The sequence below is a fragment of the Homo sapiens genome, chromosome 3 (assembly GCF_000001405.40).
Source record: "Homo sapiens chromosome 3, GRCh38.p14 Primary Assembly".
Classification (NCBI taxonomy): domain Eukaryota; kingdom Metazoa; phylum Chordata; class Mammalia; order Primates; family Hominidae; genus Homo; species Homo sapiens.
The window spans coordinates 52,336,096-52,360,854 of NC_000003.12; the positions used below are offsets into that span (position 1 = coordinate 52,336,096).

The 24,759-nt window shown below is 54.0% G+C and overlaps 1 protein-coding gene across 4 annotated transcripts in view, besides 2 other annotated features; it reads left to right on the forward strand.

The window, feature by feature from the left end:
• DNAH1 (dynein axonemal heavy chain 1) overlaps positions 1 to 24,759 on the forward strand; it is an 89,573-nt gene that overhangs the window by 25,176 nt on the left and 39,638 nt on the right. For all 4 annotated transcript variants that reach the window (XM_017006129.2, XM_017006131.2, XM_017006130.2 and 1 more), the window contains 20 exons: positions 8,395 to 8,552; positions 9,400 to 9,611; positions 10,377 to 10,675; positions 11,729 to 11,879; positions 12,793 to 12,986; positions 13,100 to 13,325; positions 13,894 to 14,013; positions 14,413 to 14,495; positions 15,867 to 16,008; positions 16,457 to 16,612; positions 17,008 to 17,206; positions 17,285 to 17,538; positions 18,748 to 18,960; positions 20,519 to 20,683; positions 21,519 to 21,640; positions 21,803 to 21,908; positions 22,463 to 22,642; positions 23,151 to 23,291; positions 23,821 to 23,984; positions 24,216 to 24,329. In XM_017006129.2, the coding sequence (XP_016861618.1) occupies positions 8,395 to 8,552; positions 9,400 to 9,611; positions 10,377 to 10,675; positions 11,729 to 11,879; positions 12,793 to 12,986; positions 13,100 to 13,325; positions 13,894 to 14,013; positions 14,413 to 14,495; positions 15,867 to 16,008; positions 16,457 to 16,612; positions 17,008 to 17,206; positions 17,285 to 17,538; positions 18,748 to 18,960; positions 20,519 to 20,683; positions 21,519 to 21,640; positions 21,803 to 21,908; positions 22,463 to 22,642; positions 23,151 to 23,291; positions 23,821 to 23,984; positions 24,216 to 24,329 (3,399 nt within the window). The remainder of the gene's footprint in view (positions 1 to 8,394; positions 8,553 to 9,399; positions 9,612 to 10,376; positions 10,676 to 11,728; positions 11,880 to 12,792; positions 12,987 to 13,099; positions 13,326 to 13,893; positions 14,014 to 14,412; positions 14,496 to 15,866; positions 16,009 to 16,456; positions 16,613 to 17,007; positions 17,207 to 17,284; positions 17,539 to 18,747; positions 18,961 to 20,518; positions 20,684 to 21,518; positions 21,641 to 21,802; positions 21,909 to 22,462; positions 22,643 to 23,150; positions 23,292 to 23,820; positions 23,985 to 24,215; positions 24,330 to 24,759) is intronic.
• Positions 7,458 to 7,959: an enhancer, noted in NCBI's record as "H3K4me1 hESC enhancer chr3:52377569-52378070 (GRCh37/hg19 assembly coordinates)". NCBI's record gives its function as "activates a minimal SCP1, AML or CMV promoter by ChIP-STARR-seq in naive H9 embryonic stem cells {active_cell/tissue: H9 hESC(naive)}" and the evidence as "EXISTENCE:reporter gene assay evidence [ECO:0000049][PMID:30033119]".
• Positions 15,528 to 16,323: an enhancer, noted in NCBI's record as "H3K4me1 hESC enhancer chr3:52385639-52386434 (GRCh37/hg19 assembly coordinates)". NCBI's record gives its function as "activates a minimal SCP1, AML or CMV promoter by ChIP-STARR-seq in primed H9 embryonic stem cells {active_cell/tissue: H9 hESC(primed)}" and the evidence as "EXISTENCE:reporter gene assay evidence [ECO:0000049][PMID:30033119]".

The following is a 24,759-nucleotide window of genomic DNA, read 5'->3' on the forward strand; positions in this document are numbered from 1 at the left end:
CTGTGCAAAAGCTCTTGAATTAGGTCCCACTCTTCAATTTTTGTTTTTGTTGCAATTGCTTTTGAGGACTTAGTCATAAATTCTTTCCCAAGGCCAACATCCAGAATGGTGATTCCTAGGTTTTCTTCTAGGATTCTTATGGTTTGAGGTCTGACATTTAAATCTTTAATCCTGGCTGGACAAGATGGCTGACACCTGTAATCTCAGCACTTTGGGAGGCCGAGCAAGGTGGATGGTTTGAGCTCAGGAGTTCAAGATCAGCCTGGACAACATGGTGAAACCCCATCTCTACCAAAGAACATAAAAAAATTAGCCAGGCATGGTGGGGCGCGCCTATTGTCCCAGCTCCTTGGGAAGCTGAGGTAGGAGGATCACTTGAACCTAGGAGGTGGAGGTTGCAGTGAGCCGCACTGGTACCACTGCACTCCAACCTGGGTGACAGAGTCAGACCCTTTCTCAGGAAGAAAAAAAAGAACAATTTAAATATGTAATCCATCCTGAGTTAATTTTTGTTTCTGGTGAAAGGTAAGGGTCCGGTTTCAATCTTCTGCATATGGCTAGCCAGCTATCCCAGCACCATTTATTGAATAGGGAGTCCTTTCCCCACTGCATATTTTTGTCAATTTTGTTGAAGATCAGATGGCTGTAGGTGTGTGGCTTTATTTCTGGGCTCTCTATTTTGTTACATTGGACTATGTGTCTGTTTTTGTAACAGTACTATGGTGTTTTGGTTACTGTAGCCTTGTAGTACAGTTTGAAGATAAGGTGATGCCTCCAGCTTTGTTCTTTTTGCTTAGGTTTGCTTTGGCTATGCGGGCTCTTTTTAGGTTTCATATGAATTTTAGGCTAATTTTTTCCTAGTTCTGTGAAAAATGACTTGGTAGTTTGATGGGAATTGTGTTGAATCTGTAGATTGCTTTAGACAGTGTGGCCATATTAACAGTATTGATTCTTCCAGTCCATCAGCATGGAGTGTTTTTCCATTTGTTTGTGTCATCTCTGATTTCTTTTAGCAGTGTTTTGTAGTTCTTCTAGAGATCATTTACCTCCTTGGTTAAATGTATTCCTAGGTATTTTGTGTGTGTGTGTGGCAATTGTAAATGGGATTGTGTTCTTGATTTGGCTCTTAGCTTGAACATTATTGGTGTATGGAAATGCTCCTGATTTTTGTACATTGATTTTGTTTCCCGAAACTTCACTGAAGTTGTTTATCAGTTCCAGGCCTTTTGATGGAGTTCTAATGCTTTTCGATCTGCATTTTACTTTGTTTGATATCAGCGTAGCAACCTGACATTTTATTATTTCCGTTTGCCTGAGAAATCCCTCTATTTTGAGCCTTTCTAAACTAATTCATTTTAGATCAGTTTCTTACTTTCAGCATATAGTTTGGGTTTTATTTGTGAGCCAAATTTAAAACCTTTTTCTTGTAATAAGCCCATTCACATTTATTGGTATGGCTAATAGGTTTGACCTCAACTCAGTCATATTGCTTCATATTATAATCATTATGTGTATTGTAATATAATGCTATGTTTCTTTCTCTACATTATATGTTTTCTTAGTTCTTCTATTTTAAAAATTCCTTTTGGCATTTAGGAAGGTCTGTACCGTTATTTTAGTGGTTTCTTTTATAGTCTCCATTATCCCCTGCTTTCCTACTTAACCCTTTAGTATCTGTCCTGTTTCATTGTTGTTGTTTGTTTTGTTTTGTTTTGAGACAGGGTCTTGCTCTGTCACCCACGCCACAGTGCAGTAGCACAACAATCATAGCTCACTTCAGCCTTGACCTTCTGGGCTCAAGCTATCCTCATACTTCAGCCTCCTGAGTAGCTGGGACCACAGGTGTGAGCTACCACGCTTGGTTAATTTTTGTATTTTTTTAGAGACAGGGTGTCCCTATGTTGCCCAGCCTGGTCTCAAACATTTGGGCTCAAGCAATCTGCTCACCTCAGCCTCCCAAAGTGCTGGCATTATAGGAGTGAGTCACCATGCTCAGCTCTACTTAATTAATTAATTTATTTATTTATTTTCGAGATGGAGTCTTGTTTTGTCACCCAGGCTGGAGTGCAATGGTGCGATCTCTGCTCACTGCAACCTCTGCCTCCCGGGCTCAAGCTATTCTCCTGCCTCAGCCTCCTGAGTAGCTGGGATTACAGGCGCCTACCACCATGCCTGGCTATTTTTTGTATTTTTAGTAAAGAAGGGATTTCATCATGTTGGCCAGGCTGTTTTCGAACTCCTGACCTCAAATGATTCACCCACCTCGGCCACCCGAAGTGCTGGGATTACAGGCATGAGCCACTGTGCCCAGCCTCTACTTAATATTTTAACTGTTAAAATATTATTACTATTCCTCCACACTCATCTCCACCTTTTAGTCTTCAACTTACAATAAACTCTATTAAACGTATCAATATTTTTTCTGAAGTCTCCCGTCATCTCTTGGTTGTATAAAGTTCCTTTTCTAGTAGATTCCTCATGAAGAGCTCAAGGGTATAGAGTTCCTTGAGTTCTCACACGTTTAAAACGTGAAGGACAGCTTGACCAGATATAAAATTCTTAGTTCACAACTTTTATTCTATGAGTTTTTTAAAAATTCTCCACTTTGGTTGCCTTGCCTGTGTGATGCTTTTAAGAAGTCTGAGGTTGGCCGGGCATGGTGGTTCACGCCTGTAATCCCAGCACTTTGGGAGGCTGAGGTGGGTGGATCGCCTGAGGTCAGGAGTTTGAGACCAGCCTGGTCAACATGGTGAAACCCCATCTCTACTAAAAATACAAAAAAAAAAAAAAAAGCCAGATGTGGTGGCAGGTGCCTGTAATCCCAGCTACTTGGGAGGCTGAGGCAGGAGAATTGCTTGAACCTAGGAGGCAGAGCTTGCAGTTAGCTGAGTTTGTGCCACTGCACTCCAGCCTGGGTGACAGAGCCAGACTCCGTCTAAAAAAAAAAAAATTCCCTTGAATTATAGTTTTAAATCTTGGTTCTGTTCCATTCTTTTGTTTTTCTTCATCAAGGATTCCATTATGTATCTATATCTCTATGTATCTATGTATCTTTTTATATATTGCTGCTGCTTTGCGTATCTTTTAATTCAACCAGTTTCCGACCCTTTTTAGTTTTTTCTAATTTTATTTTTTAAAATTTTATTTTCTTTCTTTTACTTCCTTTATTTTCTCTCATTTTTATTCTCTTGGTTATATCCTGCCTTTCTTCAATTTACTTCATTATGCTTTGATTTGACTCTGTTTTCTCTCGGTCACCTTGTAATTTCAGCTTCCTCCCCGTGATACTTTTATTTTCCATTTTTTCCTTGAGCTTAATTAAGTCTCTTTTCTTACCGACATTTGTCCATTTATATGTTTTATTTTTGAATTTCTGATTCAAGGTGGTTTTTCAGATGCCCAAACACTCGTTTAAGGCTATTTAGCTGAAGTATTGTGTTACAGTTTTCTTCTGCTTGGTACTTGTTTATTTTTTTAGGGGTGATGGGAATTTTATCAGTTAAGATGCTCTTGTCTTCTCAAATGTGCAAACAAAGCTAAAAGATGCTCTCTTTTTCTTATAGAAGCAAATGTAGACGGTGTTCACCTATTCATTTCAGGATTTGGAGTGATTTGCAAGCTTTCTAGTTCAAGGGCGCCCTCTTCTGTCAGTATTGCACATTAGTTTTTTTTGTTTGTTTGTTTTTAGAATGTGCTCTGTGTGTGTGTCTGTGTGTGTGTGTGTGTGTGTGTGTGTACACACGTGCTGGGGAGAGGGATGTGGGTCCTCCAAGGTTTTTGTCCTCTTATCTTGCAGAACTCAACATTTCACTTTTGCTTCTTTTCCCTTATCCTCCAGTCTACAAATGACCCCTTTCCTTCTGCCTCCTGTCCCATAAGTCATATGCCTTTCAAAGAACACTGCCTTTGAATTGCATGCCCTTAAGTCCCTTCCTTGTAGTAAGTGCTCTGATTTACCAGGGCTTTTTTTCAGTATTTTTACAGTTAGGGTTACTTTCTCTTTTTTTGAGATACGGTCTCACTTTCACCCAGGCTGGAGTGCCGTGGCATAATCACAGCTAACTGCAGCCTCAAACTCTTGGGCTCAAGTAATCCTCCTGCCTCAGCCTCCCTGGTAGCTGGGACTACAGGCATGTGCCACCACACCCGCTATTTTTTTATTTTTTGTAGAGATGGGGGTCTCACTTTGTTGCCCAGGCTGGTCTCGAATTCCTGGGCTCAATTCATCCACCCACATTGGCCTCCCAAAGTTCTGGGATTATAGGCATTAGCCACTGCGCCCAGCCTGGGTTACTTTCTCTTTCTGGTAGGATTTTATTTATTTATTTATTTATTTATTTATTTATATTTATTTTTTGAGATGAAGTCTTGCTCTGTCACTCAGTCTGGAGAGCAGTGGTGTGATCTCAGCTTACTGCAACCTCTGCCCTCTGTGTTGAAATGATTCTCCTGCCTCAGCCTCCCGAGTAGCTGGGACTACAGGTGGTTACCACCACGCCTAGCTAATTTTTGTATTTTTAGTAGAGACGGGGCTTCACCATGTTGGCCAGGCTGGTCTTGAACTCCTGACCTCAGGTGATCCACCCACCTCGGCCTCCCAAAGTGCTGGGATTACAGGCATGAGCCACTGTGCCCGGCCTCTGGTAGGATTTTAGATCTATCTTAGGGTTACCACTATTTCCCTTTTCTGCAGTTTTTCTTAGACTGCCCTTGTTCTCTGTGAAAACTTGCAGCAAGAGTGTGAGAGACAGCTCACTGGAGATAGATTTTTTTTTTTTAATTTACAGATAATTTGAAGTCTAGGCATTCTGCTGATTCTAGTTGTGCTAAAGGTGTGGGTTTTGGTAGTGTTAGTTTTTTCTTCCTTCCTTCCTTCCTCCCTCCCTTCCTTCCTTCCTTCCTTCCTTCCTAGGATGTGTTGGGAAATTTGAATCGATATAGCCACCTTACCTTGGCTGTCCAGAAGTCTGTTTCTTGAATTTTATTCAATTTATAATGTTTTTGGCTTTAAGTATCAAAGATGCTGGTCTCAGATTGTCTTAGACAGCAGGGAAGTGCATTCCTGTACCTGTAGCAGGAAAACCAATGCAGGACGCCCCAGGGTTGGTGCATCAGGGCCCTGTCTGCAGTGTATGCTGGCTTCATCTTCAGGCGAGATGGCAGCAGCAGTTTCATGACCACAACAAAGGTTGTCTTAGATTGGGTTCCGTAGAAGCAGACCCTGATGTGGGGACTCTTGTGCAAGCGATTTATGAAATCCTCTCAGGAGAAATCTATAAGGAAGTGAAGGAAGCAGGGTATAATAGAAGAAGCAGCTGGTAAAATATGGTTTTAGAAGTCTAGTCTCAGCCTGATCCTGTGGGAAACTCTAGAGCAAGCATGGCACCACCGTATTTGTCCTGGAGGGAGCCAGAACAAGAGGGCTTGACTTTGACTTTTTTTTTTTTTTTTTTTTTTTTGAGACAGGGTCTTGCTCTGTCCCCCAGGCTAGAGTGCAGTGGAGCAATCTTAGCTCACTGCAAAGGGCTTGACTTTTATATATCTGCATCAGTGGTTGATCATAACTGGGACGTGTTCCCACACCTAAACCAACTGCAGTTGGGGCAAGCTCCACCACGACTGGCTTGGACTAGCTGAGATGTACCCCTGTAGCTGGGGCTGTAGTCATCTTCCCCTGAGTCAAGTGAGGAAGGATGGAATTCTGGAACAAAACTGAGGAAGAAGGGAGGGAGTGGATGTCAGGCCAGCAAGCAGCCATGTGTGGAAGTACCCATCTTGTGCCAGACACTGGGTACAGAGGAGTGAACATTTCCAACAAAGAGCCTGCACCCTGGGGACTCTCAGCCTGGCCAGAAAGACAGACAATGAAAAATCTGGGTTTTTAGGGTTCTGATAAGTGCTGTGAAGACCAAGCGAGAGAAGGGAATAGAGATGTCTCAGAAGGGCTTCTTTATATTAGGCGGTCAGGGAAAGCCTTTCTCACAGTGGTGATAACATTTGAGTTGAGGTCTAAAGTAAGGGAAGAAGAGGATTCTGGCAGAAGGAGCAGCAGTGCAGAGGCTGAGGTAGGGACAAGTTTGTGGTACTTGAGGAGCAGGGCAGGGTTACTGTGGTTGGGATGCAGAGAGAGATGTTGGTCTGGGAGGCTGGACCACATGCAGGGGCAGAGACGCGGCCACAGGCCGACAGTCTGTGCAGGCCATGGGTGGTGGTGAGCAGAGGAGTGGCTTGATCGTTTACATGTTTAAAATATATTTTTTCCAACTCAAGTAGAGAATGAGTTGTAAGGGGGCAAGAGTGGAAGCAGGGAGATCAATGAGGAGACTAATGCCATAATCAGGGCCAGAGATCATGATGGTGGCTTGAACCAGAATAGTAGCTGAGCAGCACGGGAGAAAGAGATATATTTGAGGTTTCCTCAGCGGTGGAGCCAATGAGAGCTGCTAATGGACTAAATGCAAGCTCACCCCAGGTCTGGGGATTTCCAATCTCAAAGCCCAGTTTCAGGATCAGGTGCAGGGGTCACCCACCCTCAGGCCCAGTCATGGTGTTGCACATCCAGTAGCAGGAAGAGACCAGGGACCCCTCCGTAGGGCTTTGGTCAGTAGGGTGTGTGCAATGCTGTTCAGAGACAAGGAGGCTAGTGGGGATAGGGGGCAAGCGAGGAACAGGGGATGGAGAGAAATGAAGAGCTTGCCTTCTGACATGCTGGTTCTGACACGTTGTAAGGCATCCAGTGTCAGTGTTGAGTGGGCTGGTGGATAAATGAAGGGAGAGAACTGCAGATAGGTGTGAGGGTTCTGGCTGAATAGAACAGGTGGTGTTCAGAGTCCGAGGCTGGAGGAGCTCACCTGGTGGGAGGTATAGCTGGGGAAGACGAGGGGTCTCAGGACCCCTGGCACAGGCCAACGTTTAGAAGTCAGGGAGGTGAGGAAGATCCAGGGGAAGGGTGTCCCAGAAGCTCCGTGAGGACAGCGGTGCAGCAGAATAGGAGGGAGCCACTGTGCCAAGTCTCTGAGAGTCCAGTGAGATGAGGCAGAGCCTGGAGTGGCCTCAGGGGTAGCGAGGGAAGAGATGAGGATGGGAAGAAGTGAGCACACCAGTTTTTCATAAAGAAACACAAAGAGATAAAGTCAAAGGAGGGAAGGAAGTCAAGGGGCGGCTTCTAATGTGGGACATACCAGAGTGTGTGGGGACCCCTGGGAGGGCGTGGGAGGGAAGGCAAAGAGACTGAGGTGGCTGAGCTTGCTGGGCTTTTCCTGAGAGCAGGGCATGCCTTCTACCCTGGCAGAAGGCAGGGAGATTCCGGGGTGTGAAGATGGGGTCATTTCTGTCCAATGGCTTCTGAGTTCCGGATGAAATTCGAGGGACTTCACCCAGTGAGGGAGGGTGTGTCTGTGAGTTGGCAGAGAAGGTGAGAGAGAGTCTTTTCCAGGTTCCGAGGGAGTGAGTAGATTTCTAGGCCAGGTTGAGGGTGTGTTGAAGGTGAGACCAGTCCCCTGCCTACGAAGTTCTCCAACATCCCGCAGCTCTGGTGCAAGTGTGGGCTGCAGGAAACTGAGATTCCCTTGTGGTGCCATTACCAGGGCTAAAGGGACTATTCAGATGTGGCAGAGGTGGGAGGGAGGGAGAGATCGATGGCAGAGACCAACTCAAGGAACAGAAAGGCCTGTCCGCAAAGGACAGAGATGCCAGCTGGCTCAGATGAGGCCTGAGCAAGCCAGGTGCCGGAACACAGCGGCATAGGCAACGTGTGCTGAGGAGTGAGTGAGCGAGTGAGTGAGTGAGTGAAATGGCCTCCAAGGGGTCTGCCTATGTGAGGACGGGGGAGATGGTGTGCACGCTCACCCCAGGTCTGCTGATTTCCGATCTCGGAGCCCAGTTTCAAAGTGAAGTGCAGGGGTCACCCACCCTCAGGCCCAGTCATGGGCACATCCTGAGTTCTCAGCACCTTCCAGGCGCTGCCATGATTGCCCAGTGAAAGCAAAGGAGCTCAGTGGCAGGCATCTTCCACTGCACCATGGGGCAGCAGGCGGGGGTGCTGCAGGGGAGGTGCAGGCTGTGAGTGGCAGCTCTCTGAGGCTTCCAGGCCCAGGACTTCCTGCACCCCGTCCCACTGCTCTGGGGCCTGCCTTGGCTCCCAGAGACTGGCAACAGAAAATGGGGACAAGGGGCAGAAAATGGGGGACAGAAAATGGGGACAAGGGGGAAAGAAGCAGAGGAGGTGCACTTGGAGGTTAGTGGCTCAGGGCCGGGTGGGGGTGTGCCCATGAATCCAGAAGGGAAGCCCTAAATGCGTGTCCCCAGGTCCATGCCAGAGCAGAGCTTGGGCCCCGGCTGGGGTTCACAGGGTGTGGAGCCCCTGATTCCCCCATCTCCCATCTCTATGGGCAGGGTTCTAGAGCACCTCAGCAGTCTTGCCAGAGAAGTGAGCCTGGACTATGAGCGCAGCATGAACAAGATCAACTTTGACCACGTTGTCTCTTCCAAGCCCGAGACCTTCTCCTACGTCACCCTCCCCAAGAAGGAGGAGGAGCAGGTGCCTGAGCGAGGTGAGGGTCACTGGACCAAGATGGGCTCCATGGCCATCCACCTGGCCAGAGCCCCCTCCCACCTTCCCCTCCAGGATTGTCTGCCCTGCCATTGTGGGCGTCATCAGCCCAACACTCCCTGCACCTCCCCTGTCTCCAGCACTTGTCCCACTTCTCCCTGCTGCCTGGAGGGCTCTGGACCAGGGGAAGGGAAGAAGGCTCTTTTTGAACTTATTAGTGAGAATAGCACAGAAGTTGCAAGGTGAATGTGTACTAGGAAACAATGCTTCAGCAGTAGGTGGAAGGGGCTCTGCTGATCAGACCTAGAGGATAGTCCTTCTTCCTCCAGTAGCAAGAGAGGAGACCGAGTCTCAGAGCAGGACCCCGGGGCCCAAGAACCCTCCTTGCTTTCAGCTCACCTGCCAGCCTTCCTAGACTCAGCTTCCTGCATGTCATGTACTCCGGATGCAGGCTGGGGTGTGGACAGTGGGCATTCCAAGAGGTTCTGGTACCTACCCTTTCCTTCCTTGGTGCCCCAGGGCAGGCTGTGGACAGACCTTAAGCTTGTGTGCAGCACGGGCAGGAGTGGATGAGGAGAGGGTTCTTGGTTCTCATCTACTTCTCAGAGGAGCCTGTGACTAGGGGGTCCTGGAAGGAATTCCTTTACCCATCTCAGAGTAGGCACCTCACTGAAGAGCTTCAGTGCCACTCCGGCAAACTATGGAAAGGCGGGGCTCTGGGAACGCCAGTCACTCTTCAGGGAGAAGGCAGGAGTCATGGCCCTCCTTCAAGCACCCTGTGGATCTGTCCTGTCCCCTGGTTTGGCCAGGCAGGGTCTGATACTGGCCCTTGGCCCCTATCCCTGCAGGGCTGGTGAGTGTCCCCAAGTACCACTTCTGGGAGCAGAAGGAGGACTTCACTTTCGTGTCCCTGCTCACACGGCCAGAGGTCATCACGGCCCTCAGCAAGGTGAGGGCCGAGTGCAACAAGGTGACCGCCATGTCCCTGTTCCACTCGAGCCTCTCCAAGTACAGCCACCTGGAGGAATTTGAGCAGATCCAGTCACAGACCTTCTCCCAGGTTTGTGGGCATCAAGGGCACAGGGGGCAAACGCAGGGCAGACCCTTGGAACTGGCAGGCACAGGTCGGGGCTGCAGCGGAAGGCCAGGGTCAGTGGGCCACATGGTGAGGCTGTGAGCCCCTGCTTTTCTCAAAACCTGGCCTCAGCCTCTTCCTAGACCTTATTGGAGGCTGGGGTGGGGACCAAGGGTAATGACTCATCTTGGAGAGAAAGGGAAAACCAGGGCAGGCTCTCTTTCCAATCCCTTTCCATCCCAACTCTGGTTGCCTCTGAAGCAGATCCCTTGTCTTAGAAGGGGGAGCAGGAACCTCAGGCACCCCCATGTTGACCTGTGGATTGGGGTATGAGGGAGGTGGGGGTGCACCCCCTCTGCACTCAACTCTGTCTCTGTCTGTCTCTCCACCTTATTCTCTATCTTTCCCTCTCAGCCCATTTTTGTCTTGTTCTCTGTCTCTCTGCTTCTCTCATCTCAATCTCTGGGTCTCTGTCTCTCGCTCACGGCTGGAGGGAAAGTCCTGCTTCTGCTGTCCTGTCCTCCCTCCCTCCTTTCTTCCCTCCTTCCCTGCCCAGCAGCTCTGGGCCCCCAGGGTCACATGAGGCTGTTGGTTGGCAGGGCTTGGCAGTAAGTTGGGGTAGGGGACATCCCTCCACAGTCAGATGAGCCCTGAGCCGCCCCAAGCACCCTGGTGCATAGAGTCCCTGAGTGCAGCTATAGGTCGTGGGTCCCCAGGGTGGCCATATGATGATGCCTGTGGCCACTCTAGGTGCAGATGTTCCTCAAGGACAGCTGGATCAGCTCGCTAAAGGTGGCCATGCGCAGCAGCCTGCGCGACATGAGCAAGGGCTGGTACAACCTCTACGAGACCAACTGGGAGGTGTACCTCATGTCCAAGCTGCGCAAGCTGATGGAGCTGGTGAAGTACATGCTGCAGGACACACTGCGCTTCCTGGTGCAGGACTCACTTGCCAGCTTCTCACAGTTCATCAGCGACACCTGTTGCAGCGTGCTCAACTGCACCGATGACATGGTCTGGGGTGACGACTTAATTAACAGCCCCTACAGGTGGGGCCCGGCGGGGCGGAGGCACCTGTTGACACCAGGTGATGTGTCACCTGCTGGGGATGGAGCAGGGTCAGGGACCAGGGCCAGGGTGCCCATCCATGCCAGGTCCCAGGCAGTAAGGAGAGCCGAGCTCCCTGCAGGCTGCTGGGCAATGTCCTGCCAGCCCTGGCTTGCATTGCTTCTGGTGACCTTCATTCACTCAATCATTGAGTTACTCAGTGGAGAAATATTCTTTGAACACTTGCCATGAACCAGGCATGGTTCTAGGGGAACAAGAGAGGCCCAGTCCCTGGTCTCATGGGAAAGACAGGCAGCAAGCAGATAAATACATACACACAGTCATTGCCGGTTTTGGCAGGGGCCATGATAGACACTGGGGGTGGGTCAGGGAGGAGGTGGCATCTGTGCCAAGACCTGAGATGTAAGAAGAAACAAGTTATGAGGCGATGTGAGGTGGAGGCAGGTACAGGCGGAGAGATCAGCATGGGCAGAGGCACCGAGGGGAGGATAGGCCTGGCGCAGTTGAGGAAGGAAAGGCTGGCCAGTGTGGCTGGAGTCAGGGAGGGGAGGGAGGGCTGCTCAGGATGGAGTGGGAGAGCTTGCAGGGACCAGGCCAGATCTCTTGGGGCCTCCTGAGGTCTCAGCTGGGGGCTGGATTTATTCTAAGTACAGTCAGAAGCCATCAGAGGGTTCCAGCTGGGATCCAGGCTTGGTTCTTGCTGTGTAGCGAAGATGGGAAGCCAAGGAAGATGGGCTCCCGGGGAGAGAGTGGGGGCTACAATGCCTAGGCCCTGGCAACCTCAGCACAGGGGTGGGGGGCCTCCCTCTCGTGTGGTGCTCATGGACCTCAGGTCACCTGAGGAGCAGAGGAACCTGTTTGGTTGGCCTGGGTCTTCCTCTCTGGTAACTTGGAGGTGTGTGGGACGAAGGAGAAGGCAAGTATTGTGCATGGAGAGGCTCAAGAGTCATAGCGCTGGCAGGAAGGGCAGAGGGCTGCTCCTGCACACAGGCCTCCTAGGCCTCTGCCCACAGTCAGCTCGCCATTGCCTGCAGGCCCCGGAAGAATCCCCTGTTCATCATGGACCTGGTGCTGGACAGCTCTGGGGTGCACTATAGCACCCCACTGGAGCAGTTTGAGGCATCTCTGCTGAACCTCTTCGACAAGGGCATCCTGGCCACCCATGCCGTGCCCCAGCTGGAGAAGGTACGTGCTGCAGCCTGAGCAGGCCCCAGGCACCTGCTGCCCTGGCTGCTGATGGCTCCCTGAGCTCAGGGTGCTGCCACAGTTCAACTGTATCACAGGCCTCCTGTCGGGCAGGCAGCATGCTCAGCCCTGTAAATCTCAAATATCCCATTTAATCCTCATCACAAGCTGCACTGTGACCTATTAACACTCGCATTCTGTAGGTGGGGCTTGGAGAAGTGTAATAGCCTAAGATTGTGTAGCTGCTAATGTCAGATTTTGTAGGTGAGGCTTGGAGAAGTGTAATAGTTAGCCTAAGATTGCATAGCTGCTAAGTGTTGGAACTGCGATCTGAACCCTGGGCTTGCTGGTCCTCTGCTGCCACAGCCAGATCTGATGTAGACCCCACGCTCTTGATCCCACCCAGCTCTTGGCCTCTCTCTTCATCTCCAGAGGTGGACACAGGCCGGCTTCCACATACAGACCCTCTGTCCAACGTCCCCACCAGTCACTGCCACTGCACACACACCCAGCTGCACACAGCCCACTTCCAGACCCAAGAGCCTCTGTAGCCCTAGCCCTTCTTGTCGCCTTTGCTGGTCAGTTAGAGCCTTCATGACCCAGCTGTCTTTTCTGCACCTTTTCTTGGTCCTGGGCTGAGTCAGGCCCAGGCAGAGTCATGCCCAGGCAGAGGAAGATGCTGCCCCTTGGTGGGCCTCACAGGGGCGTCTGGCCTTGTAAAGAGACAGCACAGCAAACCCCCTTCTCCCGCTGCATCCCTCCTTTTGTATTTGGTCACCCTGCCACCCTCTAGGCTTCAGGCCACATCCTGCCCCTGCTTGCCCTGCTCCTCGGGAGGACTCCCCATCTCCCCTCTGCTCATTCACCCCCTGGCTCATCCAGGTCTGCCCTGCCACATGCCTTCCCTCTGCAGCTGGTGATGGAGGACATCTTCATCAGCGGTGACCCCCTGCTGGAGTCCGTGGGCCTTCATGAGCCACTGGTGGAAGAGCTACGGGCCACCATTGCCAGTGCCGTGTCCAAGGCCATGATCCCACTGCAGGCCTACGCCAAGGAGTACCGAAAGTACCTGGAGCTGAACAACAATGACATTGCCTCCTTTCTCAAGTGCGTACGTGTGCCCATGCACGTCGGAGGGTGTCTGTGTGTTTGTGCATGTGTATCCCCTGCCCACCCTGCTCACCATCCTCTGCCCCCTCCCGTGTGCTTGCTGTCCTCAGAACCTACCAGACGCAGGGCCTGTTGGCCCAGGAGGTGCGGGAGGTAGTGCTCACCCACCTGCGGGAGAAGGAGATCCTGGACAGCTCGCTGCCCAGCAGCATCATCATTGGGCCTTTCTACATCAACACCGACAATGTCAAGCAGAGCCTGTCCAAGAAACGCAAGGCCCTGGCCACTTCCGTGCTGGACATCCTTGCCAAGAACCTGCATAAGGAGGTGGATAGCGTAAGTGCCCACCTGCCCCGCCTCAGTGACCACAGCAGCACACACCACAGCAGCACACACGGACCCTCACATACATGGCAAGATGTCCCCAAGCAGGGTCTGGGGTGTCTGTGGATGCCCAGGCCAAGGGAAGGAGCTGGAAATCACCCTGCCCCATCCCTGCCTGTCTGCAGAGAGCTGTCCTGTATGGGAGGTCCCAGGAAACGGGGGTTTCCACCTCCTTCCCTAGACTCTTAGAGGCCTGGAAAGCCTCACGAAGGACACCCTTGACGGACTTGTTTCATGGAGCTAGGGGATTCGAGTGCAGGCCTCAGAAGCCCTGCGTGTGTTGGTAGGGCTGGAGGAGGCTGGAAGGGTGAGGTGTGCCGGGTCATACCCTTGCCCCACTGACAGTCCTCAGCAACCCAGGGAGCCCACCAGGAGCACCCCTCTTGGAAAGCGCCGCAGGATGTTGTGGTGGAGGGGACAGTTACCTGTCGGGAGATGCTGGAGACCAAGGAGGAAGAGCAGGTGAGGGAAGGCAAGGGAGCAGCATGCTGCCCTCCCCAGCGCCTCCTCCCACTGCCAGATCTGCGAGGAGTTCCGCAGCATCAGCCGCAAGATCTATGAGAAGCCCAACAGCATTGAGGAGCTGGCTGAGCTGCGAGAGTGGATGAAGGGCATCCCGGAGAGGCTGGTGGGCCTGGAGGTGAGGCAGGCACACGGGCACTGGGGCCAGGGAGGCACAGGGCTGGTGTTAAGAGTCCGAGGGCTGGGGCAGGCAGGGGCTGGGAGGTCGGACTCAGGAGGCTGAGGGTAAGGTAGTTGGACAGAGGACAGATGGGGTTTAGGGGGTTGTGAGCCGGGGCTTCAGAGCTCTGCTGTCTGGGGGTAGGGGGGAGCTGGAAGCTGGAGGTGTGGCAGCCATGGCTCTAGGAGCCCTGAGCCTGATGCTGCCCTTGCACCCTGGGCCTCCTCCCCTGGCCCAGACCTCCCCATTCTGAAAGAGAGCAGCCCCTCTCTAGTACCCGTCTCTGGGGAGCCAGGTTCCGATTACCCACCACCTCCCTGGCACACGTGAAGTTCTCATTACCACCTGTCTGTGCAGGAGCGGATTGTGAAGGTCATGGATGACTACCAGGTCATGGATGAATTCCTCTACAACCTCAGCTCAGATGACTTCAATGACAAGTGAGTGGGAGCTTGGCCCCCATGCCAGGTGCGGGGTGGAGCATGAGGGGAGCTGCTGAGCTGCAGAGGCTCCCAAATGCCCCAGCTGCCACAGTCTGTGCAATCTCCCCAGAAACACCCCACTGAGATTTCAGAGGCCAGGGCTCCACACATGGGCCGGGACCAGCCAGGGCCAGGTGGCCGAAGGAATTCATTTGGGCCTCTTGGCCTCAGCTGCTCCCCAACCCTGTCTCTGTCCTGTCAATGGCCTGGCACATGTTTTGCTTGTTGTTTTTTGAAACAGAGTTTTGCTTTGTCACCCAGGCTGGAGTGCAGTGGCACGATCTCAGCTTACTGCAACCTCCGCCTCCAGGGTTCAAGTGATTCTCCCTGCCTCAGCCTCCTGAGTAGCTGGGATTACAGGTGCCCACCACCATGCCCGGCTAATTTTTATATTTTCAGTAGAGATGGGGTTTCACCATGTTGGCTAGGCTGGTCTCGAACTCCTGACCTCAGGTGATCCACCCGCCGCGCCCTCCCAAACTGCTAGGATTATAGGCGTGAGCCACCGCGCCCAGCCTGACACACGTATTTTACTGTGGACCTAGGGTTTCCTGTTTGTGGCTGGTGCCCTTTGGGGTTCTTGGGAGCACTGAGAGAGGCAAAGCTCAGCCTGGTGGGCAGTCCCTGGAGAGGGGCATTTGTCCCCACCCAAGTCAAAAGCCTTGTGGGAAACAGCCTTAGGTGCCCTTTTCCTGCCAAGCCTTACTGAGGCCGCCAGAGACCCCACACCCAGTGCTGCCTCACAGATGTTGGGGGAGTCAGGACCATCAGGGCCCTGCCCAGGAGAGGGAGACACTGGCAGACAGGGCATCTGGGTGCTCAGGGGGAACTCCCCCACGACCAGCATCCCTAGGCCAGCTGCAGGTGGAAGCCCCACATCCCACAGACCCCCTATGTCAGCTGGGCAAAGGGAGTTGGTCTGACCTGAAGGCAGCTGGCCTGAGGGCCCTGGCTAGAGACTGTGGCTTTGCCTCCTCTGAGGAAAGGCCCCTCTGGCCCCTGAGGCTTAAGAGGGGAACTTGGCCTCACTCTTCTCACTTCCCCTTGGTCCCCATCACTACACTGGGCACCTTGGGTCTGCATCTCACTGGATGCAGACTGCAGCTCCCAGGGGGCAGGGCAGCCTCCCTGATGGTGGCAGTCGCGCCTCCCAGCTCACCTGTACTTCGCAGCTGTCTGGCCCCAGGTAGCCTCCACAGCTGCCTGGATTTCCCCTGAACCCCTTCTCACTGGCTGCCTGGGTGCCTGGTGGGATGCCCCTGCCTGGTCTTGCCACTCCACCACTTCAGCCGCGATATTTCTCCCAATCCCCACCCCCATCCCGGCCAGATGGATTGCCAGCAACTGGCCTTCTAAGATCCTTGGGCAGATAGAGCTGGTGCAGCAGCAGCATGTGGAGGATGAGGAGAAGTTCCGCAAAATCCAGATCATGGATCAGAACAACTTCCAAGAGAAGCTGGAAGGGCTGCAGGTGGGGCACAGCTGCAGGCTTGGTGCTGGACACAGCCCCCACCACACGCACGCACAGTTCTCCAGGGCCTGGCCTCACTTCTTGCATTCAGGAGGTGCTGAGTCAACATGTGATGGGCGGGCAGATGGATGAATGAATAAATGGCTGAAAGAATGAACGCAAAGGCCAAAGAGATGCCTGGGCAGCAAGCTCCAGAAAGATTCGGAGTAGTAAAGTCCCCAGCTCTTCTGTTGTGTCCTTGGCGGCCTACTGGGCAGTGGGCACAGTGTCAGTGCATTGGGTCTCCCCTGGCTTTGCTGTGAGGAACCTGCTCACTCCAGGAGAACAACCTCCTTAGAACTCGGAGGAGTGGACGTCCTGGGACCTCTGGTTCCCTGGGTTTGCATGGGAAGGCCTGGACACAAGTGGGGCTGCAGGGGCATCTGACCCATTGCTCCTTGGCCTGCAGCTGGTAGTAGCTGGCTTCTCCATCCATGTGGAGATTTCACGTGCACACGAGATCGCCAACGAGGTGCGGCGTGTCAAGAAGCAGCTGAAGGACTGCCAGCAGCTGGCCATGCTCTACAACAACCGCGAGCGCATCTTCAGCTTGCCCATCACCAATGTAGGCCTCCTGCAGGCACCCTGCCCCCATGCCCCCAGGCTTGAGGAAGCAGCTCATGTAGATGCAGCTGCCAGGAGGCAGGGCTCTGGCATTTGGGGGCAGGACCCAGCAGGCTGCAGAGTGGAGATAGCCCAACCCTGGCCCTCAGGTTGAGGAGGCCCCTAGTACAAGGCAGGTGGCCTGAGGGTCAGCCCAGGTCTGGTGCAACAGCTCAGAGCCCAGATCTCAGGTGGGAAGAGAAGAAGGGAGGCCAGGCCCAGGTGTTTGGGGGCACGGTCAGGGACATCAGCCAGGAGCAAGGGAGAGGGAGAGGACCTGGCCCAAGAAGGGGCAACATGGAGAGAGACTGGGAAGTGTCCCAAGACAGCCCCAGCCCTGCCCTCCTGTCCCTGCAGTATGACAAGCTCTCCAGGATGGTGAAGGAGTTCCAACCCTACCTGGACCTTTGGACCACAGCGTCTGACTGGCTGCGCTGGTCGGAGAGCTGGATGAATGACCCCCTCTCTGCCATCGATGCTGAGCAGCTGGAGAAGAACGTGGTTGAAGCCTTCAAGACCATGCACAAGTGCGTGAAGCAGTTTAAGGACATGCCAGGTAGGGAGCCAAGCCGGCCAATCCCCTCCTCCCTGCCTCTGCCGCCTGCCTCTCATGCGTTTCTGTCTTACCCGGCAGCCTGCCAGGAAGTGGCCTTGGACATCCGGGCCCGCATCGAGGAGTTCAAACCATACATCCCACTGATCCAGGGGCTGCGCAACCCTGGCATGCGGATCCGGCACTGGGAGACACTGTCCAACCAGATCAACATCAATGTCAGGCCCAAGGCCAACCTGACCTTTGCTCGCTGCCTGGAGATGAACCTGCAGGACCATATCGAGAGCATCAGCAAGGTGGCTGAGGTGGCTGGCAAGGAGTACGCCATCGAGCAGGTGGGTAGCCACCAGCGGGCCCAGCCACTCCAGCCAGGCCCTGCCGGACAGCCTGACCTCCTGCTCTGGCAACCACAGCCACTTGGGAGGATGACAGTAATAAGCCCCATCCCTGGGGTCATGAGGCCCAGGGGTTGAGATGCATTCTATTAAGTGAGTTAATAATGCACATAAAATTCTTGACAGTGTCCACCATTGCTATTATTTTTCAGTTACTCCTCTCAAGAGCCCCAGGAAGGAGCTAATAGCATTAGCCTCAATTTAACAGATGTGTCAGGCCGGGTGCAGTGACACATGCCTGTAAATCCCAGCACTTTGGGAGGATGAGGAGGAAGGATCGCTTGAGCCCAGGAGTTTGAGACCAGTCTGGGCAACATAGGGAGACCCCCATCTCTACAAAAAATTAAGATATTAGCCAGGCATGGTGGCACATGCTTGTGGTCCCAGCTTCTTGGGAGGCTGAGGCTGCAGTGAGCGGTGATTATGCCACTGCACTCCAGCCAGGGAGACAGACTGAGACCCTGTCTCAAAACAAAACAAAAGAAAACAAACAAACAAAAAAACAGATAAATCAATTAAGGCTCAGAAGGGTTCAGCAACTGGCCAGGATGACACAGTAAATGCCAGAGGTGAGACCAGCGCCCACACTCCTCCTAACCTTAGCTGCCTCCCAACATGTGCGTACAACCACATGCAGCACATGTGTAACAGTGAACTGGGCTGAACACAGTGGCTCACGCCTGTAATCCCAGCACTTGGGAGGCCGAGGCGGGTGGATCACCTGAGGTCAGGAGTTCGAGACCAGCCTGGCCAACATGGTGAAACCCCATCTCTACTAAAAATACAAAAAATAGTGGGGTGTGGTGGCACATGCCTGTAATCCCAGCTACTCGGGAGGCTGAGGCAGGAGAATTGCTTGAATCTGGGAGGCAGAGATTGCAGTGAACCAAGATTGTGCCACTGCACTCCAGCCTGGGCTACAGAGCGAGACTCCACCTCAGAAAAAAAAAAAAAAAAGAGTGAATTGGCCCTGAATTCAGATGAGGGGCTCACACGGGACTTGTTGCCAGACAAGCCGAGAGTATTTGCCAGAGCGGCCATGTGGAGGTCATGGCCAGGTACTGTCTGCTGCTTCCCTGGGCAGGGCTGGTCAGACAGCATCAGGACCAGCCCCTCCCAGGACTCAGCCTGGCTTGTCCCCGACCCCAGGCACTGGACAAGATGGAGAAGGAGTGGTCGACCATCCTGTTCAATGTACTGCCCTACAAGGCGACAGACACCTACATCCTGAAGAGCCCGGACGAGGCCTCACAGCTGCTGGACGACCACATCGTCATGACCCAGAATATGTCATTTTCACCCTACAAGAAGCCCTTTGAGCAGCGCATCAACTCCTGGGAGAACAAACTGAAGCTGACCCAGGTCGGCCCTCCCCCCAGTCCTTCCCTCATCGCTCCCCCACTTCAGAGAGCCCGACCCACAGGTGTCACTGATGGTCTCCGGGTGGGGTTCAAAGCATCGCAGTGCCTTGCCCTCATTCACACAGCCCCTGGCTCTCTGGCAGGCCCCGCCCTACTGCATTCAGAGGAGGGCAACTAGGATGGGCTCTCCATCCATGAGGTTCAGCTACTGGATGAGGCAGATAAGGGTGCGTAGGGGCAGCATTTGGGTCCCAAAATGTGGTTGAGGATAGGCCTGAGAACTGCCAGGCGGCCTCCCCAGGGCTGCCTGAGCTTGGGACAACCAGGTCCTCCAGTACTGACACTTTCTGGGCCGGATGTCCCAAGGTCCCAGAGCACCTCAGTGCCCTTTCCCACTCTGTCCTGAGCTTCTGTTCTCATCTCATTTGGAGCTACCTTGGTTGAGGGGACTGGGCCACCAGGGACTGCACTTGTCTTGGGCTCTCAAGGCTAGAGGCAAGGGCTGCCCACAGAGCCCTGGAGGGCAGTCCCGGGGCCAGCCTGCAGGTGTGATATCCCCTTCCCCGGGCCTCCCTGATAGCTGCTCAGAGACCTCCGGCGAAGGCCAGAAGCAGGTGGGGAGGGCTCATCTGTGTGCCTGGACCACCCAGAGATGCCTGAGCTGGTCAGCACTATCCCCAGTCCCCCTCTGCTCACGCTGTCCACTCGACCTGGAGTTTGACACCCGCCTTCCATCTCCTCCAAGGCCCAGCAACAAGCAGCCTTGCCGACTCTCCCTCACCATCCTTCAAGGGGTTCCCACCGAGGCCATTGTCGGTGCCTCTTTCAGAGTCCACTACACATGCCGGGCCCATGATTCAGGGGCAGAACTGGCCCCTTAGTGGGCTGTGGGCCCCTCGAGGGAAGGGACCAGGCCGCATTCCCCTGTTTCCCCTAGTGCCTCCCAGGGCCTGGCACAGTCCTGACACTGCTGACTGTGACCCCCATCCCATGAGGAAGAAATGGATGAGTGCGTGAGTTTGCGCTGATGGGAGAAGACAAGAGATACATCCTGAATGGGGAATTTGGAGGCAGAAGGGGGAAATGGCTCATTTTGAAGATGTCTCACCCTTGGACTCATGTTTCAGAGAGTATTTTAGGACTCTCACACTCAAGACCCATTGAATCTCAGAGAATCCTGGGGTCATGGACCCAGAAGTCCTTCCAGGAAGGAGGCTGGTTTGTCTCCCAGGCACCGAGTGTTTCCTGTCACTGCAGGCTTTGCTGGCGTGGGTGTGTTCCTCCCTTTGGAAGAGCAGCTCCCCCGGCTCCTTTGGAGGCTTGGGCGTCCTGTGGGGATGTGGGACTTCTCTGGAGGGCAGGCATCCCTGTATCCTCTTTGTTCCCTGGAGTATCACAGATGACAGCACCATCTAGAAATCTCCCTGTAGACACTGGCTTTGGTGTCCAGTGCTCTGCCCAACATGCTGGTGGGGTGAAATGTCCCAGTCATTGGGACAAACCCCAGCTTGGACCCTGACAGTCCATATCACACCCCTCCCTGCCCCTCCCCTCCCCAGGAGGTTCTGGAGGAGTGGCTGAACTGTCAGCGGTCCTGGCTCTACCTGGAGCCCATCTTTAGCTCTGAGGACATCAACCAGCAGCTGCCTGTGGAGAGCAAGCGCTACCAGACCATGGAGCGGATCTGGAAGAAGATCATGAAGAATGCCTACGAGAACCGGGAGGCAAGCTCAATGAGGGTGGGAGGGGCAGCTGGGATCCCCAAGGGCCCTGGTCACATTGCTGGTAGCCTCCTAGTCTCTTCCCTCCCTACACAGAAAAGGCTGGTGGACAAGCCTGAGGATTTGATCTTGAACCATGTCCTCCAGAGTGGGCTCCCCAGCCTCAGAGTTGCTCCTTAGAGGCACAGTCACTGACGGTTTTTCTCTTGGAGATCCACAGCCCATATTAACGTTTTTTTTTTGTTTGTCTGTTTTTTTTTTTTTGTTTTTTTTTTTGAAACAGAGTTTTGCTCTTGTTGCCCAGGCTGGAGTGCCATGGTGCAATCTCGGCTCACTGCAACCTTCACCTCCCTGGTTCACCTCCCGGAGGCTGAGACAGGGTAATCCTGTCTTAGCCTACCAAGTAGCTGGGATTACAGGCATGCGCCACCACGCGTGGCTGATTTTCTTTTGTATTTAGTGGAGCCGGGATTTCACCATGTTGGTCAGGCTGGTCTCAAACTCCTGACCTCAGGTGATCTACCTGCCTCAGCCTCCCAAAGTGCTGAGATTACAGACGTGAGCCACCATGCCCGGCCCATATTAGCATTTTAGAAGCTCTGACAAGTCCTGCAGCAAAGCAAACTCTTTAGCTTTGTTTAACTCTAACTTGTTTGACCGTAGAATTTTTTCTGTGGGGCTGATGGTTGCAGCCACTGGCTCAGGGAGAATTTTTCTGCATCTTCTTTCCCAGGCCCCGCTGAGGGGCTCTGGCTGGTGTGGGTGCTCTGGGATGAGCCTATCTTGCTACCTGGACCATGCTCACTGCCCATTTCTGTGCATGGCCCGGGCCCTGCAGGTGATCAATGTGTGTTCCGACCTGAGAATGCTGGACAGCCTGCGGGACTGCAACAAGATTCTGGACCTGGTGCAGAAGGGCCTCAGCGAGTATCTGGAGACCAAGAGGAGCGCCTTCCCCAGGTGGGCGCCACCTGGCCATGCCCACTCCGCCACTGTCTGCCCACAAGGCTGAGGTGTCCAGGGCCCTGCTCAGGCTAGGGTGCGGGGATGTCAGCAGGACTGGGGCAGCTGGGGCCCAGGGAGCCTGCACGACCCGCTTCCTCACCCCTGTTCCCCTGGCAGATTCTACTTCCTGTCAGATGATGAACTACTAGAGATCTTGTCGCAGACAAAGGACCCCACGGCCGTGCAGCCACACCTGCGCAAGTGCTTCGAGAACATCGCTCGGGTGGGCAGCTGGGCCCGGGGCTCAGGGCTGGGAGCATGGGGCATCTTCCCAGGGAGAACGTCCCTCCCTTTGTGATGAGCCCTTTTAGCAGGAAATGTGGCAAATGACATTCCTGGTCTTTGGAGACACACCTGGGGCCTGTGGGAGGAAGGTCAACTGCAGAATCCCCAGCTCAGGGCTGAGGGCCCTGGATTTCCAACTCACCAGGCGCTCCCTGTGCCCCCAGCACACTGCAAAACCCATGAGGCCAGAAGCCTGTGGCCTGCCTTGTCTTCCCTCATCTATGCAGGAGGCCGGGGACATGCAAGGCAGTCAGCCTCCTTCCCTAAAGCCTGCTTCATGCCGGGCCTGGGCTGGGGCCTGACCACTGCTGGGGAGAAGGCAGGCCATCCAGCCTGGGAAGGCCCAGCCAAGATAGACTCTCGGGGGGACGGGAAGGCAGGGCTTTCTTCTTGAGGTGGAGGGCACCGGGCAGGCTTAGCGCTGGGGCTGTGGTGGCCAGGGCATCTGGGCACACCAGGGTGACCCCACTCCTGCTCCTCCACTGCTTGCAGCTGCTATTCCAGGAGGACCTGGAGATCACGCACATGTACTCAGCCGAGGGGGAGGAGGTACAGTTGTGCTTCTCCATCTACCCCTCCAGCAACGTGGAGGACTGGCTGCGGGAGGTGGAGCGCAGCATGAAGGCCAGTGTGCACGACATCATTGAGAAGGCCATCAGGGCCTACCCCACGGTGAGCCGCCCGCAGCCCGTGCAGCCTTCCACCCCTGCACCCCTCTGCTCCCTCTCAGTGCCCCTCCTGCTCTAGCCGGCCTCGTCCTCAGGCTGCAGCCCTGAGGTCCCTGGGGGCTCAGGCGGGATTCTGGAGTCTTTCCTTTCCACACACACTCCAGAAAGTGGGACTCACTCCTAATCATCGGGATGGCTGTTCTGGTTCCCAGCACTCACTGGGTGCCAGGCTCCAGGCTGGGCCCTCTCCTGCAGTCTTTCTCTCAGCTCCATGACCATAACCGGCAGCTGGGCTCTAGGTGACTCCCCAGCCTGCAGAGTCAGTTCAGAGATATCTCTGCCACCCTGAGAAGCCCAGAGCATAAGGGCTTCCCTGCTCTGAAGGGACTGGTGGCATCAACAACTGGAGCCAAGTCTGAAAGGCCAGAGCACAGACAGCATTCAGAGGAAGAAGAAAGAATGGGATTGGGGCTGCGGCTGTCCAGGTCAGCCTGCCCATGCTGTCTTCCCAGATGCCCAGGACCCAGTGGGTTCTGAACTGGCCTGGCCAGGTGACCATCGCTGGGTGCCAGACCTACTGGACCATGGAGGTGGCAGAGGCTCTGGAGGCCGGCAACCTCAGAAGCCAACTGTTCCCCCAGCTCTGCCAGCAGGTTGGAGTCAAGAGGACCCCTGTCTGTCCCCCTCCACCCCCTACATGGCACAGGAGGGCCCAGTCCCTCCGGAAGCTTTCTCCTATAGTGAGCCTGGAAGAGGCCTGGGGTTGGGTCTAAAGGGGAGGTCAGACACCCTTGAAGTGTCTCACAACCAGCCACCCACAGGAAGGACGGGCCTGAGGCGATGCCCCCTCTGCAAGGGTCAGTGAGGGAGCCACGCGCCTGGTCCCTCCTGCACAGTACCACAGGCACCCCTTGCCCTGTGCTCCAGTGCCTTGCCAGGCTCCCCCTCCCGGCTTTAAGGGTTCAGACAGCACGACATGCTGCAGGGAGGCAGACGCCAGGCATGTGCCTCTATTCTACTTCCTTCCTTCCCCTGCCCGGTCCCTGCTCCCCTCCCAACTCAGACCATCAGAGACCCCCAGGATAGAGGGACTGTTTGTGGCAGAAGCCCACCCTCTGTGAAAGGGGAGGGTGAGCCTCCTCGTGGTACCCTGATGTTTGACAGTGCACCCCATTTCTGCAGCTCAGTGATCTGGTGGCCCTTGTGCGGGGGAAGCTGTCCCGCATGCAGCGGGCAGTGCTGTCAGCGCTAATCGTCATTGAGGTCCATGCCAAGGACGTGGTGAGCAAGCTAATCCAGGAGAACGTGGTCAGCGTGAATGACTTCCAGTGGATCTCACAGCTGAGGTGAGGACATGGGGGGCGCCCCCAGGGCCAGAGCAGCTGCCAGGAAGGGGCAGGGGAAAAGAGAAAAGTCAGTTAGCAATAAGCTGGTCTCTGTCCTTGAGGTTCTGGGACAAGCTGGGTATGGGTACCTTAATGCCCTCATTCCCAAAAAGAACCCTCTCTCCTTGACTATATACCCTGCCCAGTGGCCCATTGCCCCATGGCCAGGCCCTCATCTCCCTGCACCGCCAGGTACTACTGGACAAATAATGACCTGTATATCCGTGCTGTGAATGCTGAGTTCATCTATGGCTATGAGTACCTGGGCAACAGTGGGAGGCTGGTGATCACGCCCCTCACCGACAGGTAAGCGTTCCCCTCTTGCTCCTTCCCACACTGAGACCCTCCCTCTAGTTCTCTCTGGCCCAGGAATCCAGGGACCATGGCCACTCTGGGGTGATCTAGTCCATCAGAGCAGTACAGGGTTAGGACCAAGGGCTTTGGGCTCAGACCTCAGTTCTGCCCATCACAGGCGGAGTGACTTCGGGCAGGTGACTTGACCCCTCTGTGCCTGAGTTTCCTCTGAGGCCTCCTCACGGTGGTAATGAGAATTTCATGAGCTGATACATGTAGAGCTCTCAGCACAGGTGTGGCACTCAGTGAGCATCTAATGGGTATGCACTTTCCTGTTTTTATCCGTCAATTCCTCCTTTAATGTGCCAGAGGAACTGAGCTGAGAGACATCATGGGTGAGCCCTTTTCTAATAGTTCCCTCCTAGCTCAGTCAGTCATGTCA